The following is a 26763-nucleotide window of genomic DNA, read 5'->3' as shown; positions in this document are numbered from 1 at the left end:
CTAGTAGATATGCATTTTCTTACCTTTTCCCTCTTTCCCATGGATCTTCCTCAAAGGCCATTCTCTGAGGAGGTGTCCTTCCTTCTGCAATGGCTTATTCCATCCATGGAGATGTCCTAGAAGCCTTCACTTGTGGCAATGGTACAAAGATTGTCATCCCTTAAGGAAAGATGGGCCAAGTCCTCCGCTAAACAGAAACTACCTTCATCTACCAAGGGAAGAACTGATTCCCTAAGAATGAGAATGGAATTGTGGAAACTATCTGAATACAGGAGAAACATGGGCAGCTTCTTACAGTGCACTTACGTGAAATTTCATCTTCTTTGTAATCAGAGAAAATGAATAAAGCGAGTTCTCATGTTCATTGCCAATGCTTACAAGAAACACTATTTAGAGTGATCATTAGCAAATCCAGCAGCTCATGTTGCACTGCTTGGGATTTAAACTGATCGCTTAACACTTCTCCAAATCTCTTTAGAAGAAATAGGTGACTTTATGATTTATCACGTCTGAGTAATCAGGAAATAATTTAGAGAGATGACTATCTTGGAAACATTTCAAACAAAAGAATCAATAATGAGGGAAATTTAGGCTTGGGAACATGTCAGGACTTTATTCACTCCTGTTTTAAAAGAGCATAAGGAGGCCAGGCATGGTGGCTCATACCCGTAATCCCAGCACTTGGGGAGGCCAAGGTGGTAGGATCACTTGAGTTTAGGAGCTTGAGACCAAACTGAACAACATAGTGAGACCCCTGTCTCACTATTTGTCTACACAAATATTTTAAAAATTAGCTGGGTGTGGTGGCTTGCCCCTGTGATCCCAGCTATTTGGGAGGCTGAGTTGGGAGGATGGCTTGAGCCCAAGAGGTTGAGGCTGCAGTGAGCCATGATCACACCAATGCACTCTAGCCTGGGTGACAGAACAAGACTCTGTCCCAAAAAAATAATAATAATACTAATAAGGAATAAAGGGAAGAGAGTTTTTTTTTTTTACTAACAAACATCAGTCTGAGCCTGGATCAATGTTACCAATCTCATGGCTTGCTAGGAGTTCCAGGGCCAGATTTTGTGTTTACCTTAGAAACTCAAAGATACTTGCTTTCATGGTACCATTTCCAAGTTCCACCTGAGGTTGTTATTATTATCATTATCATTATTTTAATTGAGACAGGGTCTCACTCTGTCACCCAGGCTGGAGTGCAGTGATGTGAGCATGGCTCATTGCAGCCTTGATCTCTCCTAGGCTCACGCAACCCATCCAACTCAGTATCCCGAAGTACTGGGATTACAGGCATGCGCCACTGCACCTGGCCAGTTATTTTTTTTAATGAGTGTAATCTCACAACCTCTCAAGATTGCATCTCAAACAATCCTAGGGCCCCTTCCCTCCCACCTTTACCTAGAGAGCAAATACACTCTGTGGAGTTCAGTAAGAGAGATATTTTGCCCCTCCCCTGGGAGATCCATCTAATACAGAACCTGCAGCTGGCTCCTCCCCTTGGCTTTATATCTTAGCTGTGGCCTTGAGATCTGAAGACTTTCTTGGCCGCAGCTGTTTTCAGTGGCTTTCCTCAAAGTGTCACGTGTGTGTCCAGACATTGAAATCTATTGCCAGGTGAGATTTCAGTTTCCATGAAGGAAAAGCAAGCATGTTGAGCTAGACCTGTTTGTAAAGAATATTTAAAATCAGTGTCTTGGGGAAATTAACAGCATGTTCTGCCATCTGATTTATTTCCACATATGGTTCAATGCACTACTAATGGTTTCCATTTGAAAAGAGCAAATCCACTTAGAAAGAGGTTTTGTAATACAAGTTGCAAGACTTAATGTTCTTAAGAACACGCCAGATCTTTAGAAGTCTGAGTGATTCAATCTAAGAATTGCCAGTCATAAGTTCTAAATATAATTAAACAGTACTTTATTTTACTGGAAGTTGCAAATGACAGAACATTAGTGTATTAGTCAGGGTTCTCTAGAGGGCCAGAACTAACAGGATATATGTATATATGGAAGGGAGCTTACTAAGGAGAATTGACTCGCACGATCACAAGGTAAAGTCCCACGATAGGCCATCTGCAAGTTGAGGAGCAGGGAAGCCAGTGGTGGATCAGTCTGAGTCCCAAAATCTCAAAAGTTGGGAAGCTGACAGTGCAGCCTTCAGTCTGTGGCCAAAGGTCCAAGACCCTCTGGCAAGCAAGTCCAAGTGTCCAAAAGCTGAAGAACTTGGAGTCTGATATTCAAGGGCAGGAAGCATCCAGCACAGGAGAAAGATGAAGGTCGGAAGACTTAGCAAGTCTGCTCTTCCACCTTCTCCTGCCTGCTTTTTTCTTTTTTTTCTTTTTTTTTTTTTTCTTTTTTTGATACAGAGCCTCACACTGTCACCTGGGCTGGAGTGCAATGGTGCAGTCTCGGCTCACTGCAACCTCTGCCTCCCAGGTTCACACGAGTCTCCTGACTCAGCCTCCCTAGTAGCTGGGATTACACTGCCTGCTTTTTCCTAGCTGTGCTGCAAGCTGCCCCTGCCAGGGTCTGCCTCTCCCATGCCACTGACTCAAATGTTAATCTCCTTTGGCAACACCCTCACAGACACACCCAGGATCAATACTTTGCATCTTTCAATCCAATCAAGTTGCCACTCAGTATTACCCATCACAATTAGTCCACAAATGGGGGTTTACATATACTCCCCTCAGTAAACTCTTCTACAAGAGGTAAAGAGTGAGTGAGCACTGATGATAATAACATTATTTCCTCAAATATCGGACTGAGAGCTGTCCTACATATTTACACCTGTTCTCCTTGTTCAAATCCCTGCCTCAAGAAACTTCTTGGCCAGGCGTGGCAGCTCATTCCTGTAATACCAGTACTTTGGGAGGCCGAGTACTTTGGATCACCTGAGGTCAGGAGTTCAAGACTAGCCTGGCCAACGTGATGAAACCCTGTCTCTACTAAAAATACAAAAGTTAGCTGGTGTGATGGCAGATGTCTGTAATCCCAGCTACTTGGGAGGCTAAAGCAGGAGAATTGCTTAAACCCAGGAAGTAGAGGTTGCAGTGAGCTGAGATGGCACCACTGCACTCCAGCCTGGGCAACAGAGTGAGACTCCATCTCAAAAAAAAAAAAAGAAACCCCTTGATTACAAAGAAGGGGCCTCCCTTTTATGCTGGTACATTGCTCCAAGGACAAAAAAATCTCAATTAAAATTATGAGTTTTGAGGAAACATTATTTAATAATAACTCAATTTGCTATAAACCTGCCTTGCTACACATATTTCAATTAAGACCAAGTGTAACTGTAGAACCAGGGTATTTGGGCTGAAGTCAGGGTGATCTGAATTCAGATGTATTGTAGAGTGGAGTGGTAGGAGTGACTTTTCCTTTCTGAGACCCTCATTACTTTCAAATAATAAATAACTCTTTGAGAAGAGACCCTTGTGAGCAAAAGCAGAGGAAGCTTCAAACTGCAAACAACTTTCCCAATGTATTTAAATGCAATCTAATGAGAGAGTTAAAAGTATGATGAAATATGACTGCTGTTCATAAACTTGAAGCATGATTTTGTAATTGTTAACATTTACCTTAACCTCTTTGTCTTTTTGAGCCAATTTCTTTAGGCTGTTTGGCACATTAATAATTAGATTATAGTCCAGGTGCAGTGGCTTATACCTGCAATCCGAGCACTTTGGGAGGCCGAGGCAGGTGGATCCCCCGAGGTCAGAAGTTTGAGACCAGCCTGACCAACATGGAGAAACCCTATCTCTACTAAAAATACAAAATTAGCTGGGCATGGTGGCGCATGCCTGTAATCCCAGCTACTCGGGAGGCTGAGGCAGGAGAATCACTAGAACCCGAGAGACAAAGGTTGCAGTGAGCCGAGATCGTGCCATTGCGCTACAGCCTGGGCAACAAGAGCAAAACTCCATCTCAAATAGTAATACTAATATTTAGATTATAGAACAATTTAAAGTTTAAGGTTCTGGCAAAATAATTATTCTTTGAAGTAACTGGGTAAACTGTTAACAGCTCAGAAAAGTCTATTTTAATTATTTCTAATCAGGGGCCCCATTTTATTTTTCTTCAAAAAGTAATACCATCCTATATGTACATTAAAAAACTTTTTAAGGATTTTTACCCTGGGTAATATTCTTTATTATGCTCCTAACAGTGTTGCATGCCGAGCAGGGTCTTATTTGGTTGAGAAGATTGAGGCTTAGTTTGGAAAGTACCAATCTCAGAGCAAACCCAGGTCTCCCCAACTCCTGGCCTGAGTAGCTAGGACTACAGGCATGTACCACCACACCCAGCTAATTTTTAAATTATTTTTTGTAGAGACAGGGTCTCCCTATGTTGCCCATCTGGTCTCAAACTCCTGGCCTCAAGCAATCCTCCTGCCTCAACCTCCCAAAGTGCTGGAATTAACAGGTGTGAGCCTCTGTGCCTGGTCAGTGCCCTTTCCATTCTATCAAAATCAGATGAAATCTTCCATATGAAAACTTATAACACTTTTTCCCTTCTAGGCAGCTTATTTGGGGCCTCCTCTTTCATCCTTATAAGAAAAACCATGGCCAAAAAAAAAAAAAAATAGGCAGGATGCTAAGTGCAAAATATATCAACGTCAGTATAACTGATTAGGAAGATTTACAGACCAATAGGCAATCATTTTAACCAATTCTTGAAACATAAATTTTATTAAGTAATTTCAGAATGTAACAACTGGGTTGTCATCCAGTACTCCCATTACATCATCGTGCTCCTTGAGACTTAGAACGTCATGTAGTTCTAAAATGGGGCTGCGGTGTGGCACAGTGGCTCACGCCTGGAATCCCAGCACTTTGGGAGGCTGAGGCAGGCAGATCATGAGGTTAGGAGATCAAGAACATCCTGGCTAACACGGTGAAACCCCATCTCTACTGAAATACAAAAAATTAGCTGGGCATGGTGGCACATGCCTGTAGTCCCAGCTACTTGGGAGGCTGAGGCAGGAGAATCGCTTGAACCTGGGAGGCAGAAGTTGCAGTGAGCCGAGATTGCACCACTGCACTCCAGCCTGGGCGACAGAGCGAGACTCCATCAAAAAAAAAAAAATGGGACTGCGGTGACAGTCGCAGGGCTGCATAAAATTACTAAGACTGGTCAACCTTAACATGGGCTAAATGTATAGTTCATAAGATAAACCTCAAGAAAGCTGTTAAAGCCATATACCCACTGTTATGGGCTAAATTGTATCCCCCCAACCAAAAAAAAACATTCACATGTCGAAGTCCTATCCCCCAATACCTTAGAATATGACTGTCTATTTGGAGATAAGGTTTTAAAGAGGCAATAGAATTAAAATGAGGTCATTAGAATGAACTCCAATCCAATATGACTGTTGTCCTTATAAAAAGAGACTTGGACACAGATAGGTACAGAGAAAAGACCAAGTGTAGTGAGAAGGCGGCCACCTACAAGCCAAGGAGAGAGGCCTCAGAAGACACCAACCCTGCCGACACCTTGATCTCAGACATCTAGCCTCCAGAATTGTGAGGAAAAAATTGTTGTTTAAGCCACCCAGTCTGAAGTCTTTTGTTATGGGAGATGGGAACCCTCACAAATTAATGCACTCCTCCCAACACACACACACACACACACACACACTCACACAATACAATGCTACCTAATACAAGCTATATGAAAACCTACCCTTATGAATAGCTATTGATTTTTAATTCTCTTCTGGGCCATTTTTTTACTCATTAAATATTTTATGCTTAAATTTCAATTATTTATGTTTTAATGCTAATGGTTATAGATTTTAAGAATGAACTACGAGGCCAGGTGCAGTGGCTCATGCCTGTAATCCCAGCACTTTGGGAGGCTGAGGCGAGTGGATCACCTGAGGTCAGGAGTTTGAGACCAGCCTGGCCAACATGGCGAAACCCCGTCTCTACTAAAAATACAAAATTAGCTGGGTGTGGTGGCGCATGCCTATAATCCCAGCTATTTGGGAGGCTGAGGCAGGAGAATCACTTGAACCTGGTAGGCGGAGGCTGCAATGAGCCAAGATCGTCCCATTGCATTCCAGCCTGGGCAACAAGAGCAAAACTCTGTCTCAAAAAAACAAAGAATGAACTATGAAAATTCAGCACAGAACATCAAAGAGCTACCATAGCCTTATTAACTACATAGCTCAAATCCATAAAAATACAAATAAACCATGTTCTTTGTGGAGAATGACTTACCCAAATTGTCCACAGTCACTGGTGGATACTGTGAAAACTGGAGCCAATATCTGGGCACCTGCTTCCTTACTAACCACTTAATGCTCATTGCTAGTCACAGAGTGGCCCAAAAAGCTGGGCCAAAGAAAGGGAAGATAAAATAATTCTTGTCATTGTGACTATACAAACTGTATAGAGTCCATATAATTAGGAAGCATAAAAATCATACAGTAAAGCAAGCACTATTTATTATATTTCATAACAGTAAAATTTCCCTTGTTTCAATTCCCTTCTCAATTTTGGACCGCAGGAACATTTTGTGCCACAGTGAAATCCTAAAATGACAGAAAAACATTGGGGTTAAGAAGTGTTTTTAGTCAGATGAGTTCTGAGTTGGGCAGCAATGAAGTTAAACACTGGCAGGCAATGGCATCTCTCCTTCATGCCTGTCCCCACGCTTTGTTGACAAGTTGGGGTGCAAATAAATGTGTGTTGCTGTGTTCTACTTGAAACATTTGACAAGGACCTTTTCTTTGAAAATCACAATTGCAAACAAAAGTCTAACCTGAGATAAAGAGAGATTAAAATGGCGAAGAACCATCTTGAAATCACAGATACCACCCTCCAGTTCTAACAAAATAATTTGTTTTCTATGGAGGTTAGGGAAGAAAACTTCCCAAACAGATGTAATGAGATACTTTGTAGAGAAAACATGAAGCTAAGACAGTGAAATGTTGGGTGGTGTTCTATAACCCAGAAGTCTGTCCCCTGCTGTTTGTCTTACTTTTTTCTTTATGCTTATATTTTAACTACTCACCGTATCCTCTTTCACAGACCCTACAGAATTGGTGACCAAAGAGGCCATCTGCTTTCCAAGAAAATCACTAGTAAATTGCCCAGTATTTAAAGATACCTAACCCCAGGCCAGGCGCCGTGGCTCACACCTATAATCCCAGCACTTTGGGAGGCCAAGGTGGGTGTATTACTTGAGCTCAGGAGTTCAATACCAGCCTGGCCAACATGGCAAAACCCTGACTCTACTAAAAGTACAAAAATTAGCCAGGCATAATAACACACACCTGTAATCCCAGCTACTTGGGAGGCTGAGCCAGGAGAATAGCTTGAACCCCAGAGGCGAAGGTTGCAGTGAGCCAAGATCACGCCACTGTACTCCAGCCTTGGCAACAGAGCAAGACTGTCTCAAAATAAAATAAAAGAATAAAGATACCACACAGGAGTAGCTTCCAAAACTCAGCTCTCTTTTTTTCTCTGGATTGACAACCAGTTGGAGCCGCCATTAAAGAAAGTACACAAATTCTAAAATCCTGGTGTTTAAATCTAACATATTTCCTATGTTAGCTGGCCGATAAGTTTGGAAATGTATATTTAATGTATCTCCACAGAAGCTATTTGCATGTCCAAGAACGTGACAACCTATGAAGGTGTTTACTTCATAGGCAGAGCAAAGTTTCAGACCATCTAACTATGCAGCATAGTTTATGTAATTCCCTCGCCTTTCAGAGGCTTTTTCAAATCTTGTGTTCACCAGGGTAAAACAGCACCAATTCAATGTCTACAAGATCAGACTACAGAATAGGAAAATCAAAACATTAAATTAGGTGTTAGACTAAATTTCACTGTGCTTTAGGGTAGATATCACCAATGGACAAGGATCTCTGCTTTTATGATTATGTAGGTTAATGGCCTGACCAAACCAATGGTCTTTAGTTTCCATTTTGGCTGCAGAGCAGTTTAAGTACAGGGCCTTGTCTTGCCATTCTACCTTATATCCCTGTGTTGACATCAAGGGGACCCATTTCAAAGAGAATATTGGTTTACTATTTCAGAGTATATACTTATGAACATGAAACTCATTCTTAATATAAAAGGAAATGGAGAGTGCCAATTTCCTTTGGATGAGATTTGAGCTAAGAACAGGAGGAAGGGTCAGGTGTGGTGGCTCACGCCTGTAATCCCAACACTTTGGGAGGCCAAGGCGGGCAGGCAGATCACTTGAGATCAGAGGTTTAAGGCCAGCCTGGCCAACATGGTAAAACCCTGTCTCTACAAAAACATACAAAAATTAGCCAGGCATGGTGGCACACACCTGTAGTCCCAGCTACTCAGGAGGCTGAGGCAGGAGAATCACTTGAACCTGGGAGGCAGACGTTGCAGTGAGCCAAGATTGTACCATTTGCACTCCAGCCTGGGTGAAAGAGTGAGACCCTGTCTCAAAAAAAAAAAAAAAAAGGAGGAAGAGCTGGCATTAATCCAGCTAGAAAACCTACCCACTGATAGGAAAACTGTGATGTTGGTCAAGTCCTTTATTCCGTTAGGTCTCTGTGTAAAGAGGGCTGCAATAACTTCCTTCTTATATTAACACTCAAAAGAAAATTTATAAAACAATATAGTCCATTTATTAGAGCAAAAAATGAATGGGGGCTGATGAGTGTATAGGGAAGAACCATTAGCAAAATGATGTATTAAATGTCTGTTTCCATTTCTCTTGTGATAGATCATCGCTTGTTCATTTAAGTAACCCCTATGCTTTGGTAATAGCTATCAGCATATAAAATATTGTCTATGCTCCCCCAAAAAAAATCACAAAGGTTCTTAGCCTCATAAAGTTCGATAAATAAGCATCGGAATAATTTCAAAAGTATTCAATGACAAAGAAATGTGATATTTGTAACTATTAGCTAAAAGTAAAATTAAATATTACACATCTATGAGGCTGGCCTTGGAGATGAAGAAAAATGCAAAAACAAATTATGAAAAGTAAATTGGCCGGCCTCAGTGGCTCATGCCTGTAATCCCAGCACTTTGGGAGGTCGAGGCGGGCGGATCACCCGAGGAAGGGAGTTCGAGACCAGCCTGACCAACATGGAGAAACCCCGTCTCTACTAAAAATACAAAATTAGCCGGGCATGATGGCACATGCCTGTAATCCCAGCTACTCGGGAGGCTGAGGCAGGAGAATCACTTGAACCCGGGAGGCGGAGGTTGCGGTGAGCCGAGATCGTGCCATTGCACTCCAGCCTGGGCAACAAGAGCGAAACTCCATCTAAAAAAAGAAAAAGAAAAGTAATATCTTCAGGGACTGCAGTGTAGGATGTTTCTGTGCAGCGTTTTATTTAGTGAAGTTAAAGATACCATGAAGCATACCAAACCCGTTTATATATAAAATAGAAAATCATTTCTCCATCTGAAGGGAAGTCTATTGACTACGTTTTAGTAAACTCTGAACCAAAGAACCTGCGAATGTCACTCTTCCAGCAGGAAGCATCTGGTTCATTCAGGCTATACCACAGACTGTCCATCATAACATTTAGAAAAAATGTCAGCTATCACAACCCTCTACCTCCATATTTTTTACCCCACCTAAGTATGTTGGTTCCCTAGGCTGCTACCACAAAGTACCACAAACTTGCCTGTACCAACAAAAATTTGTTATCTCACAATTCTGGAGGCCAGAAGTCTGAAATTGAGGTATAGAAGGACCATGTCCTTGCTGAAGGCGCTTGGGAAGAAGCCCCTTTTGCCTCCTCTAGCTCTTGGTGGCTGCCGGCATTTCCTGGTTCTAGACTCTTCACTCCAATTTCCACCTCCATTGTCACGCAGTATTCTCCCTGTGTGTCTCTGCGTCTTTGTACAGCTTTTAAAAAACACCAATCCCAGCCTGGACAACATGGGGAGACCCCGTCTCTACGTACAATTTAAAAATCATCCAGACACAGTGGCACACACCTGTAGTCCTGGCTACTCAGGAGGCTGAAGTGTGAGGATCACCTGAGTCTGGGAGGTCAAGGCTTCAGTGAGCTGAGATTGCGCCACTGCACTCCAGCCTGGGTGACAGAGTGAGACCCTGTGTCCAAAAAATAAATTAAAAATAAAAAATAAAACACCAGTCATTGGATTTAGGGTGCAACCTAATACAGTATGATCTCATCTTAACTTGATCACACATGCAAAGACCCTTATTTCCAAATAAGGTCATGTTCTGAGGTTCCAGGGAGACGTGAACTTGGGGAGGCCCTATCCAACCCAGTACATTCACCAATGACAAAAATATGTTTTTACTAATCAAATATCATCTGAGAATCCACAATTTTTAAACATATATACTGTGTTAAGAGTACAAATACAAGTACTCCAAATTATCCTTTTAAAGTTTCTGTGTGTGTGTGTGTGTGTGTGTGTGTGTGTAATGGAGTCGCACGCTTTTGCCCAGGCTGGAGTGCAGTGGTGCGATCTCAGCTCACTGCAACCTCCGCCTCCCGGGTTCAAGTGATTCTCCTGCCTTGGCCTCCTGAGTAGCTGGGACTACAGGCGCCTGCCACCACGCCCCTCTAATTTTTGTATTTTTAGTAGAGACAGGGTTTCACCACATTGGCCAGGCTGGTCTCAAACTCCTGCCCTTAAGTGATCTGCCCACCTCGGCCTCCCGAAGTGGTGGGATTACAGAAACGAGCCACCACACCTGGACCCTTTTAATCTCAAATGACTGAAATTATATCTACACATCAGACAACTTCTCCTGCGCTGGGTACAGCAATGCCAATTGTTGTTGTTCTTTACTTCCTGTTTTTTTTCTTTGTTAATCTTTAAAAAAAAAAAAAAAAGATAGTTCCTAGTTTAAAAAAAATGCTGCATCCCTGACCATCTTTTTGAAACATGACTTGCTTCAGGAACATGCTCTAGTTTTATGCCTCCCTTTATAGTTATAAAATAGATTTAATTTTTTCCTATGTACCCTATCATCCTGTCTTAGACAAACTTACAATACTTAGTAGCTTCAGTTAACAAATACGACTATGGAAAACAGGTGATAGTCATCATTAATTTAAGGTAAAAAGTAGAGCCACGTGGTTAAAATACAAGTTTGAAGAAGTCTACTATTACTGCTTTTATGTATGGAGAGCAGTGATCTCAAGACATTTCATCTTCAGAGACTGAACTGACAATGGGGCTGATATGAGAAGAAAAACTGTCATTTGAGATACCTGTTGTAGTAGCCTGAGTTTTAGACTGAGGCTTGAAGACAAAAAAATTTATTGAGCTGGGCAAAGTGGCTCACACCTATAATCCCAACATTTCGGGAGGCCAAGGCAGGAGGATCACTTGAGCCCAGGAGTTCAAAACCAGCTTGGGCAACAATTTCTAAACATGTATATTCTGTTTAGAGTCCTGATACAAGTACAGTACAAATACAGAGTTTCTATGGCAAAAACCTGTCTCTACAAAAAATACAAAAATTAGGGGGGCATGGTGGTGAGCACCTGTAGTCCCAGCACTTGGGAGGCTAAGGTGAGAGGATTGCTTGAGCCCCCGAGGTCAAGGCTGCAGTCAGCTATGATTGTGCCACTGCACTCCAGCTTGGGCAACAGAGCAAGACACAGTGGCTCACGCCTGTAATCCCAGCACTTTGGGAGGCCGAGGCTAGCAGATCACCCAAGTTTGGGAGTTCGAGACCAGCCTGACCAACATGGAGAAACCCTGTCTCTACTAAAAATACAAAAATTAGCTGGGTGTGGTGACAGGTGCCTGTAATCCCAGCTACTTGGGAGGCCAAGGCAGGAGAATCGCTTGAACCTGGGAGGCAGACGTTGTGGTGAGCCGAGATCGCACCACTGTACTCCAACCTGGGCAACAAGAGAGAAACTCTAAAAAAAATAATAAATAAAAATAAAAATAAAAGATGTTTCAGTCCTGAAAATAAGAGGAAATATTCTAAGTCACATCCAAACCTCTAATTTCTCATCTCACTGAAGTTCATGGAGAGGAAGTTTTGAATCAGTAGGCTCCAACTTCTCACTGAGGACTAGCAATTGTATGTAGAGAAGGAATAAGGAAGTGGCAACGTAACACACCCAATGGAAGGTCAATTTCTTGGATTCTATTTATTGCCCAAATGACGATTTGAAGTCAACATAAAGAAATATTTTTTTGCAATTGATTTTAAAGCTGTGCTTGAATATAGTGAGAAAGAGCAGTGACCTGTGTATAGATAGAATCTTCTAGGGGCAATCTCTTTATGGATATCACCGATCCTTATATCTGAGAGATACAGACGTTTTTACCTCTTGGGTAGGCAGGCTTTCTTGCCTAGATGAGCCAAAATAATTACATCAGCTCTTTCTACCTGGAAAGACTCCCTCGCTAACACCTGATAAGACTTTATAGGATAAAGGAAAAACTTGACTAGATTTGACGAAAATACAAAACTACTTCTTAATCTTTAGTGTTTAAATCATTAGTGGTATTTCTAATTAGCCCCTCTAAAGCTCTCATTTTGGTAACAGGACCCTACTAATATTATCTAATGATGTGAGATGTCAGGCATTAAAACTGTTGTTCTTATTTTTCATTTGCTAACCATTCACATTAAACCATGTGGATTATGGCACATACAGTGTAATGCACAGGTTGAAGTAGGCGGGGTTTCATTTCCATCCACTCCCAAGACAGAGTTTAATTTTACATCTTGGGAAACTGACACCACACCTGCTTGTGACAGTATGTTTTACTTTTTTACTTACATAAAATACAATGCCGTATATATGGAAAAGGGTTAAAAGCCTGAAAAAGGCTTTCTGTTTTAACATATTTTTTCTGTTATACAAAGCCATACCACCAAAAAAAAAATTTTTTAATATCCTACATGCCAAATCTACTTAGTCATTATTTTTTACTGCTTCTGATTCAAATAATTTAAGGCTAAAATAATAAGCATGTATTGAGACCCAGCACCCAATTGGGTGGTGTCTGGGAAACAAAGAAGTAAGAGGAAAAAAATTACCTTCACTCCACCCCACTCCTTCCTCTCTTGGCCACACTCAGCATCTCAGCTATATCCAGGATGGTCCTAACTCCAAAACCTTAAATTCAAACACACTCCTCTTGGAATATGATCTCCTGCCTCCCAGTTCTCATTCTCTTCCATCCACTCCATCTCTTCTTCAGTTTCATCAAGACCTGTAGGTACGTGAGCCCTTTCTTTTTCGCCCATCTGCCATGACCACTCTCTTCTTATCCACCATAGACATGGTAGCTCCTCAGATTCTTTCCTGCCAAGATCTTCAATTCCCTTGCCTCCTTGTCCCCCTGACATGTCTCTCCCTTGAAACCACAAGCTCGATCTAACCAACTCTTCTCCTGTTGACATTCGTAGGGGCATAGTTGGAGGCTGCTGGAAGAAAGCCCACCACCCCACAGACTGCAGCTAGGCCATTAATGCTGCCCACCAGGCTTGTGTTTCCTGGTCAGCTGTTCTCCCCGTGCTGCAGTGGCTATTTCCAACCTTCTCAGCTGTCTTCAAACCTTCTACCCCCGTAGAGCAGAGACAGCTAGCTGAGGAGCCAACCAGCATCTCCTTCTTCCAGGACCCCCAGGAAAGCCACAAACTACCAAGTTCAAGTCATGGAGTGTGAGCAGAAGTGATGTGCCCCTTCAAGCTCCTTATTGTTGGAAATATCTAAAACCTTTAAAGTAAAAAAAAAAAAAAAAAAAAAAGGCCAGGCATGGTGGTTCGTACCTGTAATCCCAGCCCTTAGGAGGCCAGGGCAGGTGGATCGCTTGAGCCCAAGAGTTTGAGACCAGTCTAGGCAACATGGTGAAACTCTGTCTCTACAAAAAATACAAAAAAAAAAAAAAATAGCCAGGTACAGTGGCATGTGCCTGCAGTCCCAGCTAGTTGCCGGGCTAATGTGAGAGGATCGTTTGAACCAGGGAGGCAGAAGCTGCAGCGAGCCAAGATCGCACCATTGCACTCCAACCTGGGCAACAGAGTGAGACTATCTCAAAAAAAAAAAAAAATTTAAATGATGTGCCTCTTCTCTGGACCAGGCTTATCCAAACCTCTCACAAATGTTCCTCTCTTTCCCCATCTGCAGAGTGGGTGCTAGGGCCCGGGGCCACCAGTTAAAGAATCAGAGCCTCTCTCTCTCAACTGAGGTCCAGAATGACTTTGTGAAGCAAATAAGCAAAACACACACACACACACACACACACACACACACACACACACACACACACCCCCACTCAATCCCTGACGCTCCGCTGTGCCCAGTGGGAAATACATATAGGCTCACCATTGAGACGCGGCTGCGGCAGAGTGGCCCTTCACTACTCCACCCTGTGCTGGCTCCTCCTGCTCAGCATGTGGCCTTGCTTCCTGTTCTACCAAAGAAGAAGGAAAATGTGTTTTGCTTTCCTTTAAATAATAGATACCAGCTTCCTGTGGCCTGACTAATTAGGGCTTAATGATGCCTGTTATCATCAAGGAGATGAGCTCTCACCTGATATGAGATCAGCAGTCATTAGGGCCTCCAGCCTCTAAATCTCAGCACGGAGGGCAAGGTCTGAGGGCCTGGGGGCAAAGGCAGTTCACAGACCCGGGCTCCGGACCTCTGCCCTTCCACGTTTTCTACAGAATTATATCCTAATGGAATGTGTTTTTCTGTCTAAAAGTCTTTTATTGAACTTCCTTATGTTTCTGTAACAAAAATAGGTGTACACATTGAAATTTTAAAAAATTATTTACTTCGATCTTAAAGCTCTGTATTTAAAATTTTTCTGGATTAAATTATCTTTACCATTGTTTTCAGTGAACAGTTGATCAAAGTACCTAAATATTACATATTTTAAGTCATTAAACAGAAAGTAAATATAAAATATAAAGGAAATACATTGAGAATGAAGCTCCTGAAAGGTGAATGGTGCTATTTGTTTAATAGTTTAGAGGGCTTTTGCAATTTTTAATGTATCTGTAGATGACAGCCTGAGACTAAGTTGGCATGGATTTTATTCCTATTTTCATATATATATTATATATATATATATATAATATATAATATATATAAAACTGTGAAAAACTTGTTCACATAAATAAATAGAAATGGGAAGGGAATTTGGGCATAGAAATGATATTCAATTCTCCGAACAACTTCTCAGTTTTACTGATAAGATTAAATTATTGTGAATGCTTTACCACTAGAAATAAGAACTTTCTTAGTTCATCTGTCAATGAAACAAATCACTTGATTAGCTGACAGGTGAGAAACAAATAAACAACATGATTATTTCCTCCTTCAACTGAAAACTCTGGTTTGCAAAAGAGCCCATCAGTCCATCATTCACTTTCTCAACACTCCCACCCACTGCTACCGTTTGCTTTCTTTTCTTTTTCTTTTTCTCTTTTTCTTTTTTGGAAACAGAGTCTCACCTTTTGCCCAGGCTGGCTTCCCAGGTTCAAGCCATTCTTCTGCCTCAGCCTCCAGAGTAGCTGAGTTTACAGGCGCCCGCCACCAAACCCAGCTAATTGTTATGTTTTTAGTAGAGATGGGGTTTCGCCACATTGGCCAGGCTGGTCTCAAACACCTGACCTCAGGTGATCCACCCACTTTGGCCTCCTGAAGTGCAGGGATTACAGGCTTGAGCCACCACGCCCGGCCTACCATTTGCTTTCATATGCAGGGGGTTAGACCCAGGGAAAATGCTCTTCAGGAAGATTCGCATGAAGGCAAACTCTCAGGAAGAAAAATTTAGCAAAACATACATATGGAATTTGCTGCCCCCGGCAGTCTAGAGGAAAAGGACATCCATTCCGTCTCTTGGGGCTGAGGCCCCGCTGAGACCAAGCTACTGGACTTTCTCTCTGATTCAATCAGGTAAGACCCAGCATCTTCTAGGACCTGCAATCCCTGGTGACAGCCAGCTCCTGAACCCAGTGGTAAGAAATTTCAATCCTTGACCCACTCTGGAGAGGAACACTGCTCTCCTTCACTCCCTCTGGGTCTGGGGAGGAAGTGGGGAAGCATTAAAATGTGCTTTGTTCACACTGTGAGTCTGTGTTTTCTACATAAAGAAAATCTAGAACTTGACAATGAGTGTTCCAGCAAATCAATACACTAGAGATTCTGACTGAATTCTCTTCCTCATGTTTGGAAAAGAGCTCTTCATGTCACGTCACTTCACAGTCTGCTTGTTCTGGAATGGCTGCCATGCTCTGGTTGTCAGAGGCATTTGAACCAAAGCAATTCCATCTTAAATAGGGGCTGGGTAAAAATGAGGCTGAGACCTACTGGGCTGCATTCCCAGATGGTCGGGCATTCTAAGTCACAGGATGAGCTAGAAGGTCAGCACAAGATACAGGTCATAAAGACCTTGCTGATAAAACAGCTTGCAGTAAAGGAGCTGGCTAAAACCCACCAAAACCAAGACGGTGACAAGAGTGACCTCTGGTCGTCCTCACTGCCACACCACCACCAGCGCCATGACAGTTTACAAATGCCATGGCAACGTCAGGAAGTTACCCTATATTGTCTAAAAAGGGAAGGCATGAATAATCCACATTTTGTTTAGCATATAACCAAGAAATAATCATAAAAATGGGCAACCAGCAGCCTCGGGGCTGTTTTGTCTACTGAGTAGCCGTTCTTTTATTCCTCTACTTTCTTGATAAACTTGCTTTCACTTTACTCTATGGACTCACCCTGAATTCTTTCTCGTGCGAGATCCAAGAACCCTCTCTTGGGGTCTGGATGGGGACCACTTTCCGGTAACAGGGCCTTCCTGATTTAATTGGGGATAGTTGGGATGGACAGGGACTCACAGTCACAAAATATGTCTACCTAAGACCAGCATTAGGAGCAGGATGAAGGGTCTTTCTCCTGGAAGGGCTGTGAGCTTGCTAATGCCAGCTTTCCCTCTCTCTGTCTCTTCACATTGTCAGAGTACCCTTTCTCCTGGTCAAGGCTAACACCCCAACCTGGCCCTGTGAGGAAACCATTCCCCACTACCCTCTCAACCCCCTGCACCTCACTTATCCCCCACCCCACCTCTTCAGGGATCTGTAATCTAAATACAACCTTCTGGCCAGGTATGGTGGTTCCTGCCTGTAATCCAGCACTTTGGGAAGTCGAGGCAGGAGGACTGCTTGAGGCCAAGAGTTCAAGACCACCTGGCCAACGAAGCACAACCCCATCTCTAAAAACAAGTAAATAAATACACCCTTGTGTAACATCACTAACCTCCCTGCTAGTACCTTCTCTTCACTATTTAAAATGCTGATAATTTCTCCCTAGAAACTCACTCTTCCAGGTAGTAAATCATAAAATGCAGCTATGATAATTAAAATATCTTGGAACTGCAAAAGAAGAAAACAGAGGTACAGAGTCCAGAAACAGACCCAGCTGCATTCTAAAATGAAATTTGTGCCATGTTGGCATTTCAAATCAATGGGAGAAAGTGCATTGTGTAATAAATAAAATACTTTGAAGATAACTAAATCTTAAGCCCAATTTCCCCTCATAAGCCAAAAGGAGCTTCCTGATGAATTGAAAGTTTAAACATAAAATCATACAACTACTAGAAGAAATCCTGGGAAGTCATTTCTAAGCATGAGGAAGTCATTTCTAAGCAGAGATGCAAAATCCTAAATTTAAAGGAAAAGATTTTTAAATCTGTTAATGTAAAAACATAAAACTTACATTTACTTACAATGTCATATCATTCAAAAAATAACAGCAAAGGACAAATAACAGAAAGTCCAAATGACTTGCCGAATTCACTTATTAATTCTAGTATTGTGCTTTCCTTTTTCAATATTTATGCAAATCATCTCATCTTCTATTGCATTACCTAGAGCCTCCAAAACAATGTAGGGGTAATAAATAAGTTGAGATAAGAAGTATATCTGCCTTGTTACTCATTTTAATTCAGTTAACTTTTTTTGTTCTTCAATAGTTGGTATGATGTTTGCTTTTGGGTTTTGGCAAATCTCATCATATTTAGGTAGCTTTTTTCTCTGAAATGAATACTGAATTATCACATGCTTTTAAATATTTATTAATATAATCTTGCAAGTTTTCTCTTTTGTTACTCTAATTGATTATTATTTATAGTTTTTAAATGTTGAACAATTCTTGCATTCCAGAATAAATCTATTTAATTTTGGTATTTATTCTCTTTTTTTTCTTTAAGGTTAACACTTCAATATATTGACATTTTCGCTTACAAACGTACAATTTGCATATGTAGGGAAAAAAATCAGTTCCGTAGGCACAAGAGAATAGTAGAGACAGAAAGCAATCACAAATAGATCAGTTCCGGGGAGAAAGTGGAACTGCATTCCATGGCTTGTATCTACATACACTAGGGAAGGAAAAAGAAATATTCCACAGGATCAAAACTTGATGTGGAAAATAAACTTGGGTCATTTTATCTCAATTGAGAATCTTCTTATGATCCAGGTGGCTACACTGAGTCCTGGATGGCCTAAAATGGGCAAAGTCTGGCCTTGTTCACAAATTATGATCCAAGATATTAACCACAGTTCTCCCTCTTCTCTTTAATATCCAAGACCCTGAAGTTGACTCAAGGAATGAAAAGAACAGAGCAAAAAGAACAATCGGATTAGCATGTAAGTAATGTCAACAGCCAACTTCTTCAAGGTATGGATCATTATTTAAAAGTACACATAGAGGCCAGGTGCAGTGGCTCACGCCTATAATCCCAGTACTTTGGGAGGCTGAGGCAGGCAGATCACGAGGTCAGGAGATCAAGACCATCCTGGCTAACACGGTGAAACCCCGTCTCTACTGAAAATACAAAAAATTAGCTGGGCGTGGTGGCAGACGCCTGTAGTCCCAGCTACTCGGGAGGCTGAGGCAGGAGAGTGGCGTGAACCTGGGAGGCGGGGCTTGGAGTGAGCCGAGATCATCGTGCCACTGCACTCCAGCCTGGGCGACAGAGTGAGACTCCGTCTCAAAAAAAAAAAAAAAAAAGTATACATGCAAGTAGAATGTTACTCAAAACTGAACAGAAGTTTCTTCTAACTCACGACGCACTTCTTCACTTGGAATTACTAAGTGTAGCACTGTAAACAAAGAATGTCATTGAGAAACTGAGGCTATCAAAATGTTGGCATCTATGGGAGTTGTGGCCAAGGAAATGAAATATCTGAGCTCACCTTATCCCCAGCATGCATTTCATACCAGGATCAAATCACTAATGACCGTGAATTTCCAGGCTCAACTATGGCTGCCTAATGAGGCTGGCCCCACTGGGGATGGGGACTGGGGAGGGGACACACACGGGTGCCCAAGCTTCAGTCCACATCTCCCTCGGTTCATCCAGAAGCAGCCATGGGGCACAGGAAGACGTCTGCTTCAAGAGCATTTCAGCTGCAAAAGTCTGGTTCCTGTAATTCCCTCCCGGTAATTCCAAGTCCAAAATTACCACAAGTGCAACATGAAAAGCTGTTCATAGTTTTTAAGTAAAGCGTACATACAGCTTTAATAACGATTATAATCTGAACAAAGCCGTTCTTATTACACAGGATGGAAAATCTTCAAAGCGACATTTTAAACCATGGACACTAGTGTTGTCATACGTTGCATCTATCCAGAGATGACAGATAAACACACATCCTTCCAGGTGGGAACAGACACTCTCATGTCAACAAGTCCCCTAGGACTGGCGATAAAAACAGACTTGTGGTCACCACTCGGTTTCTCTGGCATCTGGCTTCATGTGGAATCCTATGTAAGTTGGCCTCAGAGGGAAGTGACTGAGCAGCAAAGCAAGACAGCATGTATGTAACTAGTCGGGCAAAATAACACGTCTGTGCTACCTGGAACGTATGTTAGGGAAAACAGGACCGTATGGAGCGTGGGGCAGAGATATTCACTGTGCTAAACTGCCTTTGTAAAATCACATGTTTAAAGCATGCAGGACAGAAAACCAGAATAATTCCAAGCTTGAAAACATGAAATAACAGAAACATGAATATTTGAAATACATACTTCATAATATTGGAAATAAGAGCACTGGACAGAAAGGCAGGACTGGGTTTTCCAGAGACTCCCACATTTTGGGGCTCAAAATTCCATGTTCTAAGCTTCTCTATCACGCAGAGATCAAGAACAAAAGAAGGCTGGGGTCCTGACCAGACTGAGTGGTATCTTGAGCCAGTTCCTGTGTCCTGAGGGCCCCTGGGCCCCATTTCCCATCCATAACCCAAGTTTGCTCAGCCATAGTCTGTCCTGGTGCTCGGTGGACAGCCACAGGGCCCCGTTCCTGTGGGCCTTCAGGGGGACAAGAGAGAGCATTCCCCCCACAGTCCAATCCCCCAGAAGGCCTGAAATGGAAACGCTCTAACTAAGGCTCTCCTTCCACTCCCCCACTTTTCTTTTAATATTATTCTCTCAACAAGTAGAAAAATAGGCTGTAAGGAGGCTTAGGCAGCAACGCAAACACCCCAAGCAGACACACACTCAAATAGCTCTCTCTGAATAAAGCAAATCTGCCTCCACACGCTTGTTTGTTATTGTTCTGACTTCTCCAAGTTTTAAAGGATAAAACCCTAACACTCAGAAGCTCAAATCAATTCCTAATGAGGGATATGTTTCCCAAATATAGCTACCAAAACCATACAAGAATAACCTGAGAATAAGAAGCTAGGGGCCGGGCACAGCGGCTCAAGCCTGTAATCCCAGCACTTTGGGAGGCCAAGGCGGGTGGATCACAAGGTCAGGAGTTCAAGACCAGCCTGGCCCAGATAGTGAAACCCCATCTGTACTAAAAAAAAAAAAAAAAAAAAAAAAAAAATTAGCCAGGCTTGGTGGCAGGAGCCTGTAATCCTAGCTACTCGGGAGGCTGAGGCAGAGAATTGCTTGAACCCGAGAGGTGGAGGTTGCAGTGAGCCTAGATCGTGCCACTGCACTCAAGCCTGGGTGACAGAGCGAGACTCTGTCTTAAAAAAAAAAAAAAAGCAAAGAAAAGAAAGAAAAAGAAGACAGTAGGGTTACGCAGATTTCTGAAGCATCGTTTTTTCAAAGGCTGGCTGTGCCCTCTCATCCTGAGGAGTCACCCTTGCTGGGGGCCTGTGGAGCCCCAGAAGGCGGGTCAGGGGGCTCTCACACCACAGCCTCGGAGAAGTAACCAGAAGCTTACCAATCCACAACTCCTAAGGTAACATGCAACCAGTTCTGGTCTGTGGCTTGAAAAAGTTAAACAGAAAGGAGCTGTAGATTTTCTTGCCACAATCACTCATGATGCATACAACGCTATATTACTGGCATAACATGAAAATAAATTATCCCTTAAGCACTACACCTAACTCTAAAAAGAAAATGCCTTTCAAAACAGCTAGGCTCAAATAAAGTATTCCGAGACTTCCGTAAGGACAGTCCTAGAATGAGCCAGTGCCCCTGGAGAGCCCGTGTTTGAACAAAATAGCACAGTTCTGGCCGGGCGCAGTGGCTCATGCCTGTAATCCCAGCACTTTGGGAGGCCGAGGTGGGCAGATCACAAGGTCAGGAGATCAAGACCATCCCAGTCAACATGGTGAAACCCCATCTCTACTAAAAATACAAAAATTAGCTGAGTATGGCGGCACGTGCTTGTAATCCCAGCTACTCGGGAGGCTGAGGCAGGAGAATCACTTGAACCCTGGAGGCAGAGGTTGCAGTGAGCCAAGATCACGCCACTGTACTCCAGCCTGGGCGACAAAGCTAGACTCCATCTCAAAGAAAAAAGAAAAAAGAAAAAAATAGCACAGTTCAAACCTTTCTCTGTGGTACTTATGTGGATTAGTTACAATTATGATGTCACTACTTTCAAAGGAACGATTAAAATTATTATTAAAAACATTTGTCACAAACAGAAATGCCCTGTAAATCATATTACTGCACACAGGGTTATCAGGAGCTAGGCACATCAAGACCTTACGGCCTCTAGAAGACCAAGAATAGAGACCCTAAGGGCATGACTATGGCCACTCCTGCCAACATGCCCACTGCCAGGTCACTGTCATTGTCTCGATATCACTCTTGAATGATGACTTGGTTAGCAGGCTGCTGTCCATAAAGTCCTGCATACGAGTACTGGTAGGGCACAGCATACGCCTGTCCATTAGCAGCATAGACAATTTGAGTTCCTGGCAGGCACACACCACTGTATGGCTCATAGCCCTATTCCTCAGTGGCTGGTGCAGCATAGGCCGTGTGTGGTGGAGGGGAGGAAACCACGGGTGTCTCATCAGTCATGACTGTGGAGCCCACATAGGCTGTGTTTGTCCTGGAATCTTGGAGTGTAAATTTCCAAGCCAAGCAATCACTGTGTTTTCTGCACAAAGACTAATTGTTTTCCCATCTGAGCAAACAATCTGCAGCATGCAGTCTTTTTCCATATATATATATCATATATATAAATTATATATGATACATATTTTAATAAGAATATTATATATTATATAATTATATTTAAATATTAATGTATATTATATTTAAATATAATTATATAATATATAAGTATTATTTATTATACAATATATAATATATATTTTATACATTTTTTGGGGGGGAGCAGGATCTCATTCCGTCACCCATGCTGGAGTGCAGTGGCCCAATCTCGGCTCAATGCAACCTCCACCTCCCAAGTTCAAGCAATTCTCCTGCCTCAGCCTCCCAAATAGCTAGGATTACAGGTGCGTGCCACCATGACTGGCTAATTTTTGTATTTTTAGGTGAGACGAGGTTTCACCATGTTGGCCAGGCTGGTCTCGAACTCCTGACCTCAAGTGATCCGCCTGCCTCGACCTCCCAAAGTGCTGGGATTACAGACATGAGCCACCACTCCCGGCAGTTTGCAGTCTTTTGACTTTCCATGCAGAGGCTGACTATCCCGACATTCCTGCCTGGCAGGGATATTGAGGCATTCCACTTGCATGCGGACCTTATCCTCAACACTCTGCCAAGTCTGGTCATCATAATAGGTCAGGTACCATCTGACCACAGGTCAAACCAATTCTTATTCCAGAACTTCAATATAGCACTCTGTTGCAGCAACCAGCCACTCTTCAGGCCATCTCTTCACCCACCAGCCAGAGTGGAGAATGCAAAGACTCCACTGGGTTTCCTCAGCTCCAACTGTCACACCAATATCTATTCTTCTAATGTAATACTGCATTTGGTTTGTGAATATTTTTTCTAGAACTTTTACACCTATATCCATAAGTAAAATCAACCTATAGTTTTACTTTTGAAATATCTTTATTGGCTTTTATAAAATGTAATGCTAGCTTTCATAAAATGAATTGGGAAACATAAGATAATTTGGGGTGCTTTTCATCTACTTCTAACGAATGATCATTAAACTCTTATGAGCCAAGGAGACCTTTAAAAATTTAATGAAACCTTTGGACTTGAGCCCTAGAAAATAGTATGTGCTCACTTAAGCTTAATTTAGCATACAATTTACAGGGGTTCTTCAGATTTTACTCTGCATTACAACCCTGGCCACTAGAAGAGGGACTGAGTATGTCTTCGTCACCATCCAGCACTTAATGGAGGTGCTGGGGGAATGGGGCACCCGTTCCCCATAGTTTGCCCTGTGTGTCTCTTCATTTGGCTGTTCTGAGTTGTATCCTTTATAACAAACCAGTAAATGTAAGTAAAGGGTTTTCCCATGTTTTTCCATCAAATTCTCAAACATGAGGAGAAGGGCATGGAAACTCCTGATTTATAGCCAGCCAATCAGAACCAAAGTGCAGGTGGCAACTCAGGACATGCGATTGGCATCTGAAGTGAGGCCAATCTTGTGGGACTGAGCCCTTAGCTATGGGACCTGCACTAACTCCAGGTAATAATTATCAGACTTGAATGGAATTGTAGATCACCCAGTTGTCCGAAGAACTAGAGAACTGCTTAATGTGAGGGGAAGAAAAACAAACCCACACACATTTGGTATCAAAAGTTTTGTGAGTCAACACATTTCAGGCACCAGTAAGCTGCTGGAATAGTGCCCCCTCCATTTCCCCAGGTCACTAATGAAGTGGAGGAAAACTGCAGCCTCTTTCTCCCTTCTGTCTTTTTTCCTGCTAAACTAAAACAGACTGGAAGCAGCGTTTGAATTGGTTTTTGTTTTACTCATATTCCATGCAGCTAGCTTCTCTGTATAAAGGCCCCATGCACTTAGAGGAAAAACATCTTGCTTCAACTTCCACCTATGAAACTAGAAATTTTGCTTTTAATCCAGCTAGTGCAGTAGATTTTACACTACCTATTTTTCAAGTAAGAACATTGAAATGTAACATTAATTGGTCCAAGTTCACACAACATTGCAGCATCAGGGCCCAACGGGGAAGGCTACTACAGCAGTTACTGCTTCGGGGGACCACCACTGCATCACCCCATATACAAGGTGTTCAATCATTCTCCTCACACGCGTATCTTTTTCTAAATCCACCCACATTTGAGAAGTTTCTCTGGTTCAATTATTTCATGGAGGAGGCAGAGATGGCTCACCTCAAGGAAGTCACACCAGAGTGGGGAAGAAGGGACAGAAACCCAAGAGTAGGAATCCTTCTCCCAAGCACACAGTGAGAACTAGGTTGGCAGGAGTTGAGTGTCATTAAGCTTTTAGTCTCCCATGTATGTCTTATCAGGCCCCACAACAATTCTTTGCGGAACGTTCAGGAAGAAAAGGTCACATGATAAACAGCTGTGTCTTCCCCTTCCCTAATCTCATTCACTTACCTCCAGAAACATGTTTCATTCTGACTAAGTCTTGGCCTAGACATTCTGTGATCTCAGACTTATCAAACGGCTTTGACATTAAGCTTGGTCTTTCTTGCCAATTATAGATTCCTTTCTCTGTTAAAACAGCCCTCTAGCTCAGAACGGAATTTCAACACCATCCCTGGACTTTCCCTTTGGGCAGGTCTAGGAGCACTCAGCAAGATGATTGGTTCAGCAACTGTGATTGTGACAATGGGTTTTCAGTATGAATCTTTTCTAGAATTCTGAGGCACCTGTTAGGAAGCGTGCTTGGGCTTGTGAATCTCCAAGACAGGCACTCATTTTCTTGTTTAGGCCTCTTGTGCAACTGGCCTCATTTTTTAAATTCACATATTAGTTTTTTCCCCACACCGATAGTTTCTACTCTTCCTAGAAAATGTGATGCTAAAACAGAAAAACAGTGGCAGACTTATGTCCATGGAAGATGATAATACCTAGCTGATTATTAGTAACAATAGCAGCAAACACTTAGGTAGCACTTACTTCATGTCAGGTACTGTTTTAAGTTCTTTCTATATATTAACTCTTTTCATCAGCACAGCAACCCTATGAGGTAGGTCTAGTGTTATTCCTACTTTACCCATGGGAAAACTGAGCCACAGAGAGGTTAAGTAAATTGTCCAGCTATTAAGTGGTGGATTTGAAATCAGAGTCTTTGCCCTTAATTACCACACAATGTTGCTTCTCATAGAGTGTATTTCTGAATAAGCTTCTGTAAGGACAATGGTCTCAGGCTTCAGTGGAAGCCATAATTCAGACCTCAGGAGCCCTACCATTCTCCAGCAGATATGGCATGCCCCAAACATAAACACGAAAGCATGAAAAAGGCTTTTGGTCAACTACTGTTTTCTGGACATCTTTGCTGTTGTCTTTTTGTAAGAAAAAAAAAACGATGGAGGAAATGAGTTTGCAGGCTTGCAGCAAGACACTAATTTTGAAAAATTTTTGGAAAAAGTGTGATTTTGTTAAAGAAATGTAGTTGGTTATTTTCAGAAGACTTATAGAAAGTCAAAACAAGTCAGGCATGGTGGCTCACATCTGTAATCCTAGCACTTTGGGAGGCTAAAGCAGCAAGATCTGTTGAGGCCAATTGTTCAAGGCCTGCCTGGGCAACATAGCGAGATCCCATTTCTACAAAAAAAAAAAATTAGGCAGGCATGGTGGCATGTGTCTGTAGTCCCAGTTGCTTGTGAGGCTGAGGCAAGAGGATTGTGTGAGTCGAGACTCAGGAGTTCAAGGTCACAGTAAGCTACGATCGCACCCCTGCTCTCCAGTCTGGGCAACAGAGTGAGATCCTGTCTCTGAAAGAAAAAAAAGAAAAGAGAAGAAAAACCACCTAAATCTCTCCTTAAAAATATCGAATGCCCTTTAATAACAGAAAAAGAATAATTTGTAACTTGTGCATCATGTATTTTTATGAAAACAGTGTCCTTAGCATTATTTCATTATAAATACAAACATAAAATAACAGTAACAAAAAAAAACCTACACAAATTTCAAACCATATGAGAGATTTACCTAAAAACAAGTAGAGAGATTGTTTTTCCTGCCCTAACTCTCTAATCTAGGATCCCTAACATACAGGGAGAAAGGGGTAGCTAAACTATCTATTAGACTACTACTTTGGAGGCACTGGAGTAGAATTTTTTTTTTTTTTTTTTTTTTTTTTTTTTTTTTTTTTTGAGACGGAGTCTCGCTCTGTCGCCCAGGCTGGAGTGCAGTGGCGCGATCTCGGCTCACTGCAAGCTTCGCCTCCCGGGTTCACGCCATTCTCCTGCCTCAGCCTCCCGAGTAGCTGGGACTACAGGCGCCCGCTACCACGCCCGGCTAATTTTTTGTATTTTTAGTAGAGACGGGGTTTCACCGTGTTAGCCAGGATGGTCTCGATCTCCTGACCTCGTGATCCGCCCGCCTCGGCCTCCCAAAGTGCTGGGATTACAGGCGTGAGCCACCGCGCCCGGCCGAATTTTTTGTTGTTGT

General features: G+C 42.4%; 1 long non-coding RNA gene and 1 pseudogene across 3 annotated transcripts; both read right to left on the bottom strand.

Moving 5' to 3' along the window:
• Positions 1–990: 990 nt before the first annotated feature.
• Positions 991–24926, bottom strand: LOC105372151 (uncharacterized). Of its 3 annotated transcripts, none has more exons than XR_935546.3 (3): positions 24742–24926; positions 14293–14380; positions 991–1665 (listed from the first exon to the last, which is right to left on the bottom strand). It is a non-coding gene; the product is annotated as an uncharacterized LOC105372151 (long non-coding RNA). The 3 variants fall into 3 exon arrangements; XR_935547.3 differs by lacking the exon at positions 991–1665 and adding an exon at positions 6429–6537; XR_935548.1 differs by lacking the exon at positions 991–1665 and adding an exon at positions 13026–13080.
• PLEKHB2P1 (PLEKHB2 pseudogene 1) lies at positions 21767–23142 on the bottom strand (annotated as a pseudogene).
• Positions 24927–26763: the final 1837 nt, after the last annotated feature.

This window comes from Homo sapiens, chromosome 18 (genome assembly GCF_000001405.40).
Source record: "Homo sapiens chromosome 18, GRCh38.p14 Primary Assembly".
NCBI classification, from domain to species: domain Eukaryota; kingdom Metazoa; phylum Chordata; class Mammalia; order Primates; family Hominidae; genus Homo; species Homo sapiens.
This window is presented reverse-complemented; position numbering and strand designations above follow the sequence as displayed.